General features: G+C 40.3%; 1 protein-coding gene and 1 pseudogene across 7 annotated transcripts in view, besides 3 other annotated features; both read right to left on the minus strand.

Moving 5' to 3' along the window:
* The window catches only part of SLC39A8 (solute carrier family 39 member 8), a 94442-nt gene extending 83963 nt beyond the window's left edge, over window positions 1-10479 (minus strand). For 3 of the 7 annotated variants that reach the window (XM_024454184.2, NM_001135146.2, XM_024454183.2), the window contains exons 1-2: window positions 10342-10479; window positions 9441-9912 (exon numbers count right to left, since the gene is read on the minus strand). In XM_024454184.2, the coding sequence (XP_024309952.1) occupies window positions 9441-9659 (219 nt within the window). In that variant the 5' untranslated portion in view covers window positions 9660-9912; window positions 10342-10479. Of the gene's footprint in view, window positions 1-9440; window positions 10251-10341 lie in introns of those variants that run through there. The other 4 variants (NM_001135147.1, XM_047416070.1, NM_022154.5 and 1 more) reach the window with 4 other exon arrangements.
* Window positions 9002-9061: an enhancer, noted in NCBI's record as "active region_21750". NCBI's record gives its function as "activates an Ori minimal core promoter by ATAC-STARR-seq in GM12878 lymphoblastoid cells {active_cell/tissue: GM12878}" and the evidence as "EXISTENCE:reporter gene assay evidence [ECO:0000049][PMID:35858748]".
* Window positions 9532-9781: a silencer, noted in NCBI's record as "silent region_15595". NCBI's record gives its function as "represses an Ori minimal core promoter by ATAC-STARR-seq in GM12878 lymphoblastoid cells {active_cell/tissue: GM12878}" and the evidence as "EXISTENCE:reporter gene assay evidence [ECO:0000049][PMID:35858748]".
* Window positions 10962-11011: an enhancer, noted in NCBI's record as "active region_21751". NCBI's record gives its function as "activates an Ori minimal core promoter by ATAC-STARR-seq in GM12878 lymphoblastoid cells {active_cell/tissue: GM12878}" and the evidence as "EXISTENCE:reporter gene assay evidence [ECO:0000049][PMID:35858748]".
* On the minus strand, window positions 13389-13688 carry RN7SL728P (RNA, 7SL, cytoplasmic 728, pseudogene; annotated as a pseudogene).

Here is a 17272-nt window from a genome sequence, read left to right on the forward strand (position 1 = left end):
TTCCTCTGCCACAGTAAAGGCCCTACCCACAACATTTACTTAAACAGCGTTCATCCCAAGACTAGAGACAGAGCCAGTGTCTAGCTGTTCATGCTAATGTGTAGGTGAAGTAACCGAATAATATACTTACGTTCTGGGGAACTCTGCTCCTGAAGAAAACTGTAGAGCATTATGATTTAACATTCAAACTCTATTACCTGGTACCATCATAGCATGCATCTCTTAACATAAGGGACTGCATGTTTTATAGAACATATGATGAATATTTATATAAAGCAGGAACTTTTGCCAAGCTCAGAATCGGTGTACTGATTTTACTGTTCGCTGAAGTTCGGGCTAACTTTCTGTTTCCCTGTCGCTGAAGAGATACATCTCTCACTTCTTCCAGTTAGACTAAAATAATGCTCATTCTCTTATCTGTTTTCTATCCAACAGGGTTCAGCTAAATGCAGAGGGTCCTGGATTCTTCGGCTTGCAAAACCCATATAGAGGTCCATACAGATTTAGAAGTAGATCTCAATTTAAAACCGCAATTCTATCCATTTCTGGAAGTATTATATGGTTCCCCAAACATTCACATTTCAGTGGTGATGCCAATCTGGGGCAAAAATAATAAAATAAAGCCAACTTCTAAATGTAGCATCAGAAGTCCTCTGGAAGGGAGGTAATAATTTCAATGCACATTGAAGTACTCAAATTATTTTATTAGTCTCTACTCCTAAGGTTTACATTTTCAAGAATTTACTACCAGTGTTTGGAGAAAGGGAAGTGGAGGTAAACTGTAAAAGCCTCTCTGAAGGTGAGTCACCATGGAAACCAAGACTGAAATCAAAGGCACTGGACTGACTTATTTCTCACTGATCTTTTTTTTCATTAATTCTTGCTGTCTTTTCATGGCTGTGCTTTCTTCTTTTAGTTGACAGACGCTTGGGTGTTCAGATCATCAATGGAAGACAATTTTGTTAAGGATAATGTAGCTATATCGAGTAACATACTATTATGATGATAATAACTATGCATTGAGCACATAATTTGAGCCAGGCCCAATGCTAAGTATTTTACATACATTGTCTTTTGTATTACGTATTATTGGAAGCAATATAGGTAATGGAAAAAAGTCTTATATCTTTATTGAGTTGGCACGTATAACATACTGAATATATAAGTGCCCGAAATATGTTAAATGCTCAATAAATGTTAATATTGTTCTTATTTTCTAGTCCAAAAAACTGTCCTATGAGTAAGGCTCTTTTTTTCTCAATTTACGGATGTGAAAACTAAGGATTACAAAAAGAGGGTAAGTCACTTGGCTGTGATTTCCCAGGTGGTAAACAAGAGAATTAGAATTTCAGCGCAAGCTTGCCTGACTCCAGAAGCCAGATTGTAAACCATTATGCTGTATTCTCTAAGATAGTTAGAGGTCTAAGAAGCTCACCAAATAAATTGGTTACAATTATGGTTTATTTTTTAATTAGGTTCAAAGAACTAAAGACTTAGAGGCATTATCAATGCTCACTTGATTTTTTTCTCTAGCTATTCAATTAGTTATTTAAAGAAAAAAAGTCAAGGTGTTAAATATTTGGCCTTGGAGGGCATAATGCTACATTTCAGGTTCACCTTTAATCTAGACTCAACAGATTTTTGTTTTTATTCTCCTTAAACTTCAGGCCAGGAAAAACAACAGAGTATCTTTAGAAAGAGACGGAAGCCAAATTAAACAAGGCTCCATTCTGAATGTTTTCTATGCTCCCAAATCCTATCAACACAAAGGTAATTCGATGAAAGGTTCATTTCTTTATAAAATAAATCTCAAGGCTACTGAAACAGACAATTGGGAATAATTTGAGAATAAATTAATTAGTTTTGATTACAAACAGGAATCTACTGTTATATAAAGTTGGAAATGGGAAAATTCTGAAAATTACCTAGTTTTTTAGATAGCCTAGAGTTTAGTAACATTCTTTTTTTAAAATAAATTGCATTGTAAATGACCCTAATACTAGCTGTTTGCACTTAGTAATGTGTACATCCCTTGAGGAAACACCACTTGGAATACAAGTAACTTGCAAACCCATTACCAGCCACATTAAATTGCCTTCATTAGATGTTGCTTTTCTTTTCCTGAGGATCACTGATCCTTCTCAACTTCAGGCCTTATTTTCCATTTCTATTTATATTCCTATTTTTCTCCCCCAATCCCTACTACCACCAAAAGGAATTCACTTTTCTCAAAAAAAAAAAAAAAGAATCAAAAGTATATTAAATTTAAAGAAAACACCTTTAAACAATTATTATGGTTGAAAAGTAATAGGTTTTTATGACTAGAAAGCAGAAAACTAAGTCCCTGCCCCTCAATATATCCCAAGATAAGAATAAATCATGGAAAGCATAACAGCTGCAAATCTCCCACCCAGATGAGAGAACAACCCTAGGGAACATCCCTAGAGAGAAAGATCTATCCCAATTATGGAAAGTTCACCTGATAACTGTGTGAGAAAGCTCAAACTGCCTCCTAGCAGCACTGTCTTACCTATAGTTAAGAGTCAGTGATTCTGTTGAAGTACTTGGCTCGGCTCACCTACTCTTCCCTCCTTGCTTCAACTCATTCCCCAACACCTATGCACAAACCACTTTCTCCAGTGTTGTGCAGTTAAGAATGCAATTGCTTCAGAGGCATCATAAGGGAAGATTTCCATTCTAAACCGCCAGAAGAGACAGTGGATTCATTGGCCGAAAACTTCTAGCATAAAAGTGAGAAATGAACTGAAAGGTTTCATACTAGACATGCCTGAAGTCTATCCATAGAAGAAAGTACTATTGTTGCTCAAAATATAGTCCCTTAAAAAAATTCATTATATATGAAACAATAAAAGAAAATTTCATCCTCTAAAAAAGAATTCATGTAATTCACATGAAAATTCATCACATTTGGTATAAGCAAGAGTTCAATCAATAAATTTTTTAAAAACCAAACCAGATAAGCCAAATTGACTGAGTTATAACTTTTCCATGAGGCATTTCCAACCCCAAAAAATCCCTCACCTTTCTAAACTAGTAGCAGATGTTTTCTAGTATCCATGTGACAATCATATATGGCCTTGTGATATGTTTTACAATGTCTGCTTTCGTGATTACTGCAGCTTTGCCTTCCATAGTCACTTTTCACAGTTTCCATCTTATTTCTTTTTTTTTTTTTTTTTCGAGACGGAGTCTTACTTTGTCACCCAGGCTGGAGTGCAGTGGCGCCATCTCGGCTCACTGCAAGCTCTGCCTCCCGGGTTCACGCCATTCTCCTGCCTCAGCCTCCTGAGTAGCTGGGACTACAGGCACCCACCACTACTCCCGGCTAATTTTTTGTATTTTTAGTAGAGATGGGGTTTCACCATGTTAACCAGGATGGTCTCGATCTCCTGACCTTGTGATCTGCCCCCCTCAGCCTCCCAAAGTGCTGGGATTACAGGCGTTAGCCACCGCGCCCAGCCTCCATCTTATTTCTTAATTATAAGGTCTCTGAGGACAAAGACAAGTCATCATCATCGTAGCCTCCACAGCTCTAGTACCATTTCCTTAATGTGACTAAGCAATGTAACCAGATAGGCAGTCGATGACTAGTAACTTCTCCCTGTAGTTCAAAATCTAAGGTCATGGTTGCTCTAGCTAGAGAAAGTATGGTTTTCTAGATTGTAATTCAAAAAATGCACTATAGCATAGTGTGTAAGACTGCCTGAGGTTCTACCACTTACTTCGTGACGTTGGTCCAGTTACTTAACCTCTCTGTGCCACATTTTTCTTACACATAAAATGAAGATAATAATGGGACCTTTATCATAGAGTTGGTATGAGTATGAAACATGATAATACAAATAAATTGGTTAAGGGAGTAATGCCACACAGTAAAAGATTAATAAATCCTAGCTATAATTATTACATTACATATAAAAGGGTTCATATGACTCCTAGAATAGTGGGTAAAGATGTGATTTTGGGAGTTAGATATGAAAGGAATGAAAAGCATTTTCCTAATGGATCCCAATCACACCTGGCATCAAGGCAAACTAAGCTCTTGACATCACAGTCAAATGAATTACGAATGTCCCTCATTTTCCCAAAGCCTTGAAATACAATCAACACACTGTACACAATCAACTTATGTGAGAGTGATCTAATAGATCAGAATGGGGCCATTGTCTTGGAGGATTCTTAACAAGAGACCTAGGTAACCTCACCCTCTGTCCTGCCCTTCCAGTTTCTCACCTGAACAAGCAGGTTAGAAGGCATTCCTAGAAGGTTTACCCCCACCATTTCTCAGCACATAAAGGGGAAAAAAAAAAAAGAACAAATGTTCTTTATCTCTTCTGTCCATAGTCAGTGCTTCCCAGAAACACCCTCATCTAACCCATCATTACCCCCACCCCAGGAAAAAGTGCAGTAGATGACAACAGGCAATGCAAAAAACATGTTTGCAGTATCCACACACATACATACACTCCTTTTTGCTACATACCACTAGCCTGGCCATCCATTAATATGAGCCCGGAGTTATTCTTTCTCCTTCTGGCATCACAGGGTCAGAAGATAATGAAGGAAGAGATCTAGCAATACTTAAATAAATAATGATTACAGGCAAAATATTGAAATAGAAAAGGCTTATCTTTGGGGCCTTTTGCATACTCTTCAGCCATGCCTGCTCTTCTTGAAGTCTCTGAAGGCAGAGCCTTTATATTACCTTCTGAGTTTCTCCAAATTCAAGTGGTCCTTACATCTCATGAAATCCACTGCAGATGGCTCCTTAGCTCCCACCTTGACCCACTCCAATACATTCCACACTCTCATGTCAGATTAATGTTCTGAAAACACAGGTCTTATCTCACATTGGTTTTTAAACACATTTATTCCTAGTGTTCCATTATTGAAACACTAAGCATGTGGGAGTTATTTATATCCCACTGCTCAAGGTCATTGCCAAGGTCTGATTGCAAAAATTCAAAAAATTGCAACCTCAGGCATAAATGGGTTAGTTCCTTAATCAGGCATATCACTGTTTCGTGCATTATAATTATATGTGCATATGTCATGTCTCCTCCAATAGACTGTAAAGTCATGTGAGGACTCAAATTATCAAACTCATCTTAAACCATCTTCACCCATCTATTCAAAAAAATTATAATGAATACATGTTATAAACCAGGCACTACACTAGTCTCTAGAGAGAGGAGTCAGACCATGCCCTTCAACTTGTTAAAAATCTTTTGGAGGGTAGAGAGAGGCAGCAGGGGTTATAGCCACATAAGCAGAAAACTGTAATACATATAAAATAATTTACATGTTATAATATAATTGCAATATATAATATGTTATAATTGCACAAGCACCAAGAAATACAGGATTGCATTGAAGGGACTTCGACTACACTCTTGAGAAGATCAAGAAAGGCTTCTCAGAAGAAGTAATGTCTAAACTGATACCAGAGCATAATCAGGTATTTCTAGAGAACCAGGCAGTGTAAATGGTCCATTAAGATTGGAACTGTGACAAAGGATACGGTTTAAGAAACATACAGGGACCAAATCAGAAAAGGACTTTGAAGCCACTCTAAGTGTTTGTAGTTTATCTAAAAGTCACTGAATTGTTTAACAGGATGAATGATATGATCAGATTTGTATTTTTAAATAACCATTCAAATTAGAGTGCAGCAGTCATTTAAAATGTCTGCTGAACACAGGAATAGAAGTGACATCAGCATGGTAAAAAATATTTCAGGAATTCAGAAAATAGAGAAATCAGTAAATCAGTGCTGGCTGTGATACCCCAGAAAGGTTTTATGGTGAAGTTTAACTGGGCTTAAGAGAGTAGATTTTCACAGGGCAATTCAAGGAAAAGAAGAACATTTCAGTCAAAGGCAGGAAAGGTCCAAGGAAGATAATGAGTTAAGAAGTGGTTGAGCAAAAGCTTATGGGAATCCATAGAGCAGTGAGTAGTTTAGTTTAGTGGGTGCTAGGTCTGGAGAGGTAGGTTGACACAGGAGGATCAGGCCTTAAATGCTAGGCTCAAGATTTAGAGTTTGCCAGCTGAGACAGTTCATGGAGGCTTTTTGAAAGAGTGTTGCTTTGAGAAGACTGAATATGAACTGAAAAAGGTTAAAAACAGAACTTGGTTACCAGTAGAAATGTGAGAAGAAAAAAACTATGTGCACTACAGGAGATGGGCTGCAAGATATATATCAAAAAATATATATCAGAAGAAGAAATTCTGAATGGAGGCATTTCCAGCAGCTCAGTGTGATAATTTAGAAAATAGGATCTTCCTTTTATCAGGCTGTTTAACCACTATCTACACATAAGAACTTGAAAATACAGTGTTTGAAAGAGGAAATGAGGAAAAGGAACATTTGAAGAATGAGAAAGGAACAGCTGAACAAACAAAAGGCAGCACTGAGGCCATTCTTAAATGTCCTAGATTAATAACCCAGGGGTATCCAGATATTTGGGGCTTCCCTGTGTATTCTAGGAACTCCCCTCAATAGATCAGACCTTTATCCAGAAATGAGGGCCCCAGAGACCTATTTGGCTAAAAGGGCTCCCTCTTCTTTGTTGTTTTGGTCACTGCTTCTACCTAACTCTTCGCACTGTCAGTAGCTATAAGAAGCAAAACTATTGGCTCAATTGTTCTACTGTCTACAGTTTGAACTCTGACCTCTTTGATATCCCAAAGCAACAAGCTAATTTAGTAGTCCTTACTTAAGGATACGAAGAAAAATATTTAGAAAACCTTCCAAAATTGTCTAACAAATCTCCAGAGTTCATTAGTCTATTACCTGAGAAAAGCTGACCTAATAAATATCACAGCCCTCAACCAAAAGAACAATGTTATTTGAAAACTAAATCTTGTAGAAGATTCAATAAATTCCTGGACCTTGAAACAAATTTTATCTTCTTAGCCTTTTTCAAAGCCAAAAACCAGTGTCTCACAATAGACATGTGCATTGTTTATTCCACCCTGTGAGGAAACTGAAGTTGTATTCCTCAGGGTATGTAAGCATTAATGACCCTAAAATTTTACTCCAGAATTGGGTGGTTTCACACTGGAGCATACATGAATGTTGTGGGCTCAAGTCCATCACTTACCAGCAAATCAATGGATTCTTTTAGATTGGTATTTCATTTGTCATCATTTAACCAATGATTATTGTCATCATTAGGACTTTTTAGAACATCAGGCAAGGTACCGTGGCTCATGCCTGTAATCCCAGCACTTTGGGAGACCGAGGCCGGCGGATCACCTGAGGTCGGGAGTTTGAGACCAGACTGACCAACAGGGAGAAACCTCATCTCTACTAAAAATACAAATTAGCCCGGTGTGGTGGCACACGCCTGTAATCCCAGCTACCTGGAAGGCTGAGGCAGGAGAATTGCTTGAACCCAGAGGGGGAGGTTGTGGTGAACTGAGATCGTGCCATTGCACTCCAGCCTGAGCAACAAGAGTAAAACTCAGTCTCAAAAAAAAAGCAAGAACATCAAAGAGATGTTTGTTAGGCTTATTAAGTGGTAAATTTTCCTTGGCTTCCTTTTCTTTCCAAGGTAATTATGGGCTTCTTCCTGTCTCTTTTTGATGCCCACAGAGGCCATAATGAGGGCAGTTAAATATGCAAACATGAGAATGAGAAAACAGGTGTCAAGATACATATAATTTTACCTATTGAGACATCCTGCCTGCTAATAAACAGAGAATCGTATTACTGGTACACTTAACCAATTTTCCTAAATAATTTAGGCATGTTTTCCAATGTCTTTGCAAAGGTGATGTGGGGAGGTCTTTTGCCCCTTTAAAATTCATCAACACCTCCAGACACTGCAAGATAAGGAGGTCATGCAAGTCAAAACAATGTGTGGGCTACAGATATGCAGCTTCAAGTCAATCCTCTAAACTTCTTTCCAAGCACGTGACCATACCTACCTGGAAATACTGGAGTCAGCTCAGTTGTTTCCCCTATTTGATAAGAAAAGAATGCAACTAGCCAGCAAACACTTTATTTTCTTAAATATTAGCATAATTTGTGGGCATTTCCATTTTTCCAACACATCATTTCTCAGATATTACCCCAGATAAAATACCATGCCCAGAACTGGAATTATAGACAATTTACTAAAGAACATGCATAAGGGGACCACAAAACCCTTCTAGATCAAAGAGAGACCACCTCTGACATGCCATGGCATCAGAAAGTTCTACTTTTCTTAAGAGCCATATACTTTAATTGTGGTAAGATATTTCTAACAAAAAGATCAATCTACGTATAATGTTATTAACATGGAATTTATTTGATTACAGTTTCCCTAACTGTAATCTAAAGTCATATTCATTAGGAAACGCCAAATTTCCAAGAGCAGAGTATAATATGCAGCATTTCCCAAACATCTTGGACCCCAAAAACTTCTTGTAACAAACTAACATCGTCCAAAAATGACAAACGATATGGAAAATACCGTATTCTACCCTCCAATATCAGCTGTCAGTGGGACAGGAGTAAAGGAAAACAAGTCAAAGCACTGAGTTAACTGAGTTTTAAAAGACGGAGAGCAGTTTTGGAAGGATGCAGAAACTACACTTTGTCTACTTAACAATTTTAAGAACTACCCAATCACAGAGTATTTATTATAGAAATAATTAGGAATAATTTGATTTTATGTTTACAAAGAGGTATGATGTTTAACTGCTCCTACGTAGTTTGAAGCTTGTTCTTAAACCCAAGGTATTGCCAAATGCCTAGTAGTACCCTGTTTATTACTGAAAAAATTTTTTTAATCATTTTGGATAAATACTAGAATCAAATATTTGACCTGACATATGACAAGGAACTAACAATATAAGCCTAGTCTACCACCATCTGGATGACCAAATTAGAATCTTAGTCTCAAGGCCGCCCCTGTTTCAGCCCTGAATGCCTCATGTAATGTACACAGGAGCCAGAACTACATTATATCTCGTTTTCAAATAGCACTGGTTACGCACCGGGCAACTGTTAACCAGGGTGGCATGTGATAATCTTCCTTGCTAACCTTGTAGGAAGTGTGCGAGCCGTTATCTTTCTGGCAAGATTTAAGTAACTCATTCCTATCTAAAAAGCATCTGTTAAAGTGGCGTCACACCCTCAACTACTTCATAAAGTTTTCTATAAAATGTTAAAATCACCAGAGTCGGACCTCTCAGTTCATCAGGCGTAAAACTGCAGTTTCCGGCTGCCAAATCCCTTAACAACGTTAACCTTTTAATCCTTCAGCCTCGTCTAGTGAAAAGCAAGTGTCACCAGATACCGCCTTCTACTTGAGAAATATAACAAGATTCTTTCTCCTGCACTTTTCCCAAATAAAAACGGCTCATATACAAAGTGAAGTCTAGGGACACCCACAGTACGGAGGGCTGCCCGGACCTGGCGGCCTTACCTGGTTGAAGTGCAGCTGGCCAGGCTCCGGGACGCCCACGCGGGAGGCGGCTCCCATCTGCTCCAGCAAGTGCTGGAGCTGCGCCGCCGACAGGCTCAGATTCGCGCCGAACACGCTCAGCACATCCTCGCTGAAGGCTAGCCCTGGCCCCTCCGCCACTCCTCCGAGGCCGGCGGCCGCCAGCAACAGGAGCCCGGCCACCGCGCGACCCGGGGCCATCCTGGCCTGGGCTTCCCCTTGAGGGCCCGCGACGGGCTGCCGCGCAGAGGGACGCGCGCGGGCGCACTGGCGTCCTTGCCCAAGGGCGGGAGCGTCAGTGCTCGGCGCTGCTCCGAGTCAGAGGTGGCGCGGGACGCCCCTGGTTCTCCGACGCCTTCGAAAGAACAGCAGCTCGCGACCTGCGGGGCATTGAAGTGGCAGCGTAGCCGAGGGGAGCGATAGGCGGAGTGGGCCCCCCGGCCTCCTGGAGAGCCTGAGATAAAGAGGACAAAGGGGGACAGAGATAAAGGCCACCAGGGCACCAGCCGGCAGGCTCCAGAAACGCTGCGTGGCAGTAGCCCTCAAACGCCCGGCCGGGCATGGGGCCAGACGCCCCGGATCCGGGTTTGCAAACGCCCCAGGATTTGCGTACATATGCTCCTCCCGGATATAAAGCCCCAAACCACGCCACTTCTTAGGAAAAACTAAAACCACACTAACTGTAGAACTCCACCTCCTCTTCCTGTCTTTCTGCTTTATTCTCTCCGCCGCAAACTTAGAAGTGAGACGTGCAGTCCCCAAGGAGCTGCAGAAAAGGGCTCTTCCGGAGTCCTGGGGATTGCGCGTTTAAAGGGGACCCTCCCTCTCCCCGGATCTTCTCTGAGCTTGGCAAGTTAATCGGAAGCACTCGCTGGCCTCTCACCTCTCCTATCTGTTTGTTTGTCTGTCTCTGCGTCTTTCTCTCTGCGTGTCAACGTAAGACTCGGTCTCTGGATCTCTCTCTCTTTCTGTCTCCCGCCCCCACAACCTCTGTATCTCTGACAGGTCCGCGGTGAAACTCCGCGATCCGCTCCGGCGCTCTTTACAAATAAGGGGAGGAGGGCCCTGTCCCCGCCTCCGTAGCACGTGGTGACCCATTTCCCCAGCCTGAACTCCCGCGCGCGTCCACGCCGGGGCGCAGGACCGCCGGCCTTCCCTCCGCGGGCGCTGCTCATTCCCAGCATCAGCCATGCCCTCTTCCCCACCCTCACTCCTGAGGGTTACCTGATGCCACCTCCGTGTCGGGGTCCCTAACTCCTCTCTGGTCTCGGGGACGCATGCATCTTTTCGTGATCTTGATGAAACCAACTTGCTGAAATGGAGCCTGGAGACCCTTGCATTGTCTACATAATTAACAGGAATTGCTTTTTTTTCTCACTTCTTAAAATCAGAGGAGAAAGAGGAAATCCAATGGTAGCGGTGGCGGGCTAGCTGAGCCAGCACTGCCCAAGCCGGCCCTTCCTGGCGGGATATCCGCAGATCAGAGGAATGTTTATTTGTTCATATGGGAGCTCAAGAAAAGCTGACTTAGGTGTGATGTCAACAGGTTTGTGTAAAGTGAGTGTGGTGTTTGAGGCAAAGTTTGTATCTGGTGGATATAGTGGTTCAAGTGTAAAGTGAAACCATGCTTCACTGTTAGATGGCTGTGAAAGGAAAATAAATCTTGAGACTTCAAAATCACCAAGCTAAAGGGAAACATCAAGAAGGGACCAGCTTAGGGCAAACCTGCCTGCCATTCTATTCAAATTCATCCCTCTGAGGCTCACCTGAGACAAATGCATATCTGATTGCTTTCTCTTCTCCATCGTTTATGCAAAAAATGCAGATTCACTGGGCCAGACTAAACTGTCTATTGAGTGGAAGGCTGATCATGGCCTCAAAAGAATGCAACCTTTTGTCTCTTGTCTATTATACTTCTAACCTGGAAGCCCCCACTTCCAATTGTCTCACCTTACTGGACTGAACCAATGTACATCTTACACATATTGATTGATGTCTCATGTCTCTCTAAAATATATAAAAGCAAACTGTACCCCCGACCACCTTGGGCACATGTCTCAGGACTTCCTGAGGCTGTGTCAGGGGCACATCCTTAACCTTGCCAAAATAAACTTTCTAAATTGACTGAGACCTGTCTCAGACATTTTGCATTCACGTGACTAAGGACAATAAAAAGAATACAAGATGCCGTTCTTGCCTTTCATCAGGAGAATGCACAGCCTCCTAAAATAGCACATTTTAAAGAGACATTAAGTCTAGACAAAGGGGAAAAGATGGGGAAAGGGAAAAAATCTTAATCTTAGAAGAGGAACCTAAAGACATAACTGCAGAAGAAAGAGACAGGTAGAGAACATTCCCAGAGGCTAAGGATCTAGGCAGACGAAGCTGAAGGATTGTCATATGGAAGAAGGTTTAACTATATTATATCTAACTTCAGAGGACAGAAGGCAGCAGTCATGGGGCAAAGTCACCCAGAGGAAGGTTTCTGTGGAATTATAAGGCATGGCTGCCTTGGAAGATAGTGATTTCTCCATGATCAAAAGTGATTCAAATCAACAGATCCTGGGTGACCGCCTTTAGTAGGTGGTAGGAGGATTCATGCCTGAAGGGAGATGAACTAAATGATCTTAATACTGTGCTCTTTCCAATTATAAAATCTACGTATTTGTTAATAATAATTTACAGAATTATGTTGATGCTAAAAGGGCAAATATTTCATCTAAGGGCCAGAAGTAAGTTAATATCACAGTTGTCCTCTTAAATCACTCAGCTCGTGGGACTCTTCAAGCCTTTCATTGGATTTTAAAATATAGTTTGTTGCCTATTTTTCCTTTGGACCTCCGTGATGCAAAATGATTTTTGGAAATTAATGAATGCTCTAAATGGCTAATCTATACCCAGCAAGTTGTTTATTTCCAGCTTTTCTAAAACTAAATTTGTCCATAAAGTGTTAGATTTTAACAAATATAAAAGGTTTTTAAAAATACAAATCTTGGCTGGGCACTGTGGCTCACGCCTGTAATCTCAGCACTTTGGGAGAATAAGGTGGGCAGATAGCTTGAGATCAGGAGTTCAGACCAACCTGGCCAACATGTAAAAACCCTGTGTCTACTAAAAGTACAAAAATTAGCCAGGCATGGTGGCGCACGCTTGTAATCCTTGCTACTCGGGAGGCTGAGGCATGAAAATCGCTTGAACCTAGGAGACAGAGGTTGCAGTGAGCCAAGATCAGGACACTGCACTCCAACCTGGGTGACAGAGTGAGACTCTGCCTCAAAAAAGAAAATAATACAAATACAAATACAAATCTTACATTGTGGGATTTTTAGAATATATAATTTATCTATTTATCAGTCATTCATGTCTATGCACATACATTTCGCCAGCCCATCAAGTCCACAAAATAAGAAACAGTAAAATAAATGACCAACCTGCATGCCAACTTTACTAAGCCCAGTTAACATAATGCAATTAAGAGAAAGTGTTCAGAAAATTTCAGGTTACTAACTACCAAATAGGTAAGGCTAATTTCTAGATCATCCAGTCTAATAAACTATAATCACCAAAGAACTACAGGTTAGGCATCTCTAATTCAAAAATTCCAAATCCAAAATACTGCAAAATATGAAACTTTTTGAGTGCTGAAATGACACCAATGGAAAATTCTACACCTGACCTCATTTGACAGGTGCACAAAATTATTGGAAATATTATATAGAATTACTTTCAGCCTATGTTTATAGGGTGTATATGAAACATAAATGAATTTTGTGTTTAGACTTGGGTCCCATCCCCAAAATATCTCATTTTATATATATGTAAATATTCAGAAATCTTTAATAATCCAAATTTGAAACACTTCTGGTCCCAAGCATTTCAAATCAACTCATAACCAAATAATGTTTCATTTATTTATTTATTTATTTTTTAAGAGGCAGGATCTCACTATGTTGCTCAAGCTAGGACGCAGTGGCTATTCACAGGCACAATCCAACTATTGACCACCACGGAGTTTTGACCTACTCCATTCAGACCTGAGCCAGTTCACACCTCCTCAGACAACCTGGTGGTCCCCAGTCACCACCACCCCACATCTGAAGGTCATCATATTGATGCCAAACTTAGTGACTGGCACAGCCCACTACATCCCAGAGCTCCTGGGCTCGAGTGATCCTCCCACCTCAGCCTCCTCAACAGCTGGGATTACAGGCCTGTGCCACTGCACCTAGCCAGATAAATTTTAGGGTCCAAATTCTATAAGTCATATTATTACAAAAGAAAAACACTTCCCATTTAAAATATAATGTATAATGTATAAAATATATTTTTCTTAGAAATTTGCCTTAAAGGTCGAATACTTTTAAATGATAATGAGGGTAGCATGCCAAGTACACTGGCCAGGATGTTGAAAAATGTCACGTTTCTGACTCAGGCACTTGGGAAACCTGGGAAACTCATTTGACCTCACCAGGATGAATTCCCTTGTCTGTAAAACAAGATAATTGGGACAGAAGAATATCAAGTCTCCATTCCAGCCTTTTTATTTCTAAGTGTCTAATTTGGAAGTCACTTATCAGAACAAAACATGAAACCCCTAAAAAAGAAATAAGACTTCACTTCCCCAAGTGAAAGGACAGTTAACTTCAAATCTTACTTTCTCTAATGATTTCAGTTTTTTCTCAGTTCAGATCTTTTGTGACTATCGCAAATATAAAGCAAACTGGCCTCTTGTAAACATTTTCATGCATGCATTTTCTCTGTGGAAGGACTAATAAGGAAATCTAAAAGATGACACACCCCTTTCTCTTCTTCCCTTCTCTTCCTTGCCATCCAGCCTGGAAGTCGTTAGGTGGAGTATAGCAGTGTCTGTGTGGAGGGGAGCCATAGTGGCCCAAAGAGGGGTGTTGGAGCTTGAACAAGAAAAAAAGGATATCTAAGTAGGAGAGAACATAGCATGGACAGTAGGAGCCCAAGCAGGGTCCTGAAGGTGTCCAGATTTGGGAAGAGACATGGGAAATCAGAGCTGCATCACTAATGGGATAAGGGTGTATGTGTGTGCACAAGCACTGACTATCAAACCCAAGTATGATCAGCAGAGCATCCTTCCCAGCATGATCTGTCAGAGCCCAAGCTGGAAGAGTAGGGTGCCCACCAAAGTAGTGGCCAGGTGTTGGGTGCCAGAGACTGAGCACAGCTAGGAAGCATCCATGGATCTAGGGGAGAGAGAAAGAGTCAGCCAGTGTGGAGAGTCAGAGCCTGAGAAGGTGATGAAGGCAGTCAGGCCTGAGGTGGTCATAACAGAATGTCAGAGATGGGCAAGGGGGAGGAAGGTGACCCTGAAGAGCAGTAGCATGAGGTATCGGAGTCTGTGCAGTGAGGATGGCAGCCTGGCACGGTGTGTCAGAACCCAAAGAGGATAAGGAAGGAATCAGTGGGGAAGAGGATGGCAGCAGAAATACATTAGTTATACATAAGGGGATTCATTAAATAAGTAAATATATTAGATTATAATAGCCAGTTTTCTCGTTATCACAGAAGGGAGTTGCAAATATGGAGAGGGAGAAAACTAGAATGAACGAACCCTCTGGTCTTAGGTTGGAATTGGAGAGATCAGTATCAATTCATGGTTTGCGGTGTAGAAACAGATATATATATATATATATATATATATATATATATAGAGAGAGAGAGAGAGAGAGAGAGAGAGAGAGAGAGAGAGAGAGAGAGAGAGAGAGTTATGAATAATTACCAGCTCTGTCCACTGACAGGGTCTGAGAACAATGACACTAATAGCAAAGAGCATAACTAGGGCACTGAGCTTGGCTTCTAAATATTACTATCCTCTACTAAACAGAACCAGAGCCCCTTAGAAAAAGGGCTGATTCCAGAAGCAGACAAAGAACAGGATGAACCTGGAATATCACCTTGTGCTTGAAAGCAAGGGAATGGTCCAAAAATGCAGAAATGCATGTTACATTATTCCAGGATAACATGAGATTAGCAACTTACTCTAAAATGGATCAGAAGGAATAAAAGTATTTTTACTGTGCTGGCCACTTTTCTGTAAGTACCTCATAATTTTAAAATTTAAACATTGAATACTAATGAGGAAAGGAGAACGTTCCTGCAACAAATTACATTAAAATTAAATCTAAAATTTTACAAAAAGTATAATTTTCTGTGAAATTAATTTACTCACTAATACATATTTTTAGCGTTTGCATCACAGTCCATTGTGTCTGGAATACAAGAATGAGAAGATACTCCTTCTTTTACTCTTAAGTAGCTTGTAGTTACAGGTTGGAGGAAGGTGAAAGATGGTTGCTGTAATGAAGACTTTTAAATGTTGCGGTGGAGATAGATAGGAGCACTAGTGTCTGCAGATGATAGTGAGCACATAGTTTACAGAGTAGGTAATCCCTGAGCTTTAAGGATAAGTAGAAGTTTGACAGAAAGACAAAAAAAAATGGAAGAACATTCCAAGACAAGAAAATGCAAAATAAAATGCTTGAGAGGCCTGAGAGAATAAAGAGAACTGCAAGGGGTTTCTTGGAATTGGAGAATCTGGAATAGAAAGGCAGCATCTGGCAGAATCAGGAAAAGTCTCAAAGTTCCAAGTCTTTGTCTAATGATGTCCCCAAAGATTCCTTATGATCATCTGAGGCAACAACAACAAAATCTCTTCAGTGAATTTAAACCTCTTTATCCTGTATTATCAGTATCAATATTTAGTCCTCATTATTACAAATAAGCCATACCTAAAATGCTCAAATAAGACCAAGATAATGATTCTATCTGGACCATCTATGTCTATTCAGCCATCCATACCAGAGACAGTAGAGGTAGGAATCAGATTTCTGCAAGGCCCCTCTTAACTTAATTCCTAATCTCTAAAATGGGGATTAAAATAATACCTGCTCAATTTACCTCACTGAATAATTGTGAAAATCAGATGTGATAAAGTATGTGAAATCTCTTTATCAACTCTAAAGCAGAATGCAGGTGTTAATATATGCTGGAATGGTAGGGTAACGTGACCCGTGTAATAGGCCTAGCAAAGGGCCAATGGGAAATGGACAAGAACAACCAAGAATATCTCAGGACAAAGACTACTTTATACCTTACAAAACTCAGGTTTTTTCCTAGGAAATTGAAGTGCTAATCGGAAATGGAAAGATCCATAAATTACACCAAGTCTAATCTTGTCATTTAGGGGATAAGGAAAAGAATGCTCAGGAGAGTTAAGCAGTATGGCCAAGTAACATATTTAGACCGGAACAGAAGCCCAAACTTGTCTTTTTCCATTTCACCACGACAAAATAAACACCAGTCAATGTTTCAAGGATAACACCCTTATGACTTCAATGTGATTGAGAAAGTGAAATTGGAAATTATACTAACCTATGTTCTTCCTAGTTCTTCTTCTTCATCCCTTTTCTTCAATTATTTTCTAATGAACCAGTGTCCCCACCCTTTATGCTGCTGTTTCACCTGAGCTCACCCAGCATTATCTCAGCATGGTTTTTATGCTTTATAATTCTACAAATTTTAAAATTATTATTAGAATGTTGGGAAATTTTATATATACTAACATGGAAATATACTGAGTAAATTAATTAAAAAAAATGAGGCAGAACACGTTTTAAAACAATGAAACAGCTGCGCACATGCGTGTTTGTGTGTACATTAACAAAGTTCTGAGGAATATGTGCCAAGTTGTTTACAATGTTTTCCTTTTAAGAAGTAAATGTAAGAAGTAGGTCTGAGGACAGGTGATTCAAAGGGGGAAGAACAATACCTTTCTCTGTGGAGAA

This window comes from Homo sapiens, chromosome 4 (assembly GCF_000001405.40).
Source record: "Homo sapiens chromosome 4, GRCh38.p14 Primary Assembly".
Taxonomy (NCBI): domain Eukaryota; kingdom Metazoa; phylum Chordata; class Mammalia; order Primates; family Hominidae; genus Homo; species Homo sapiens.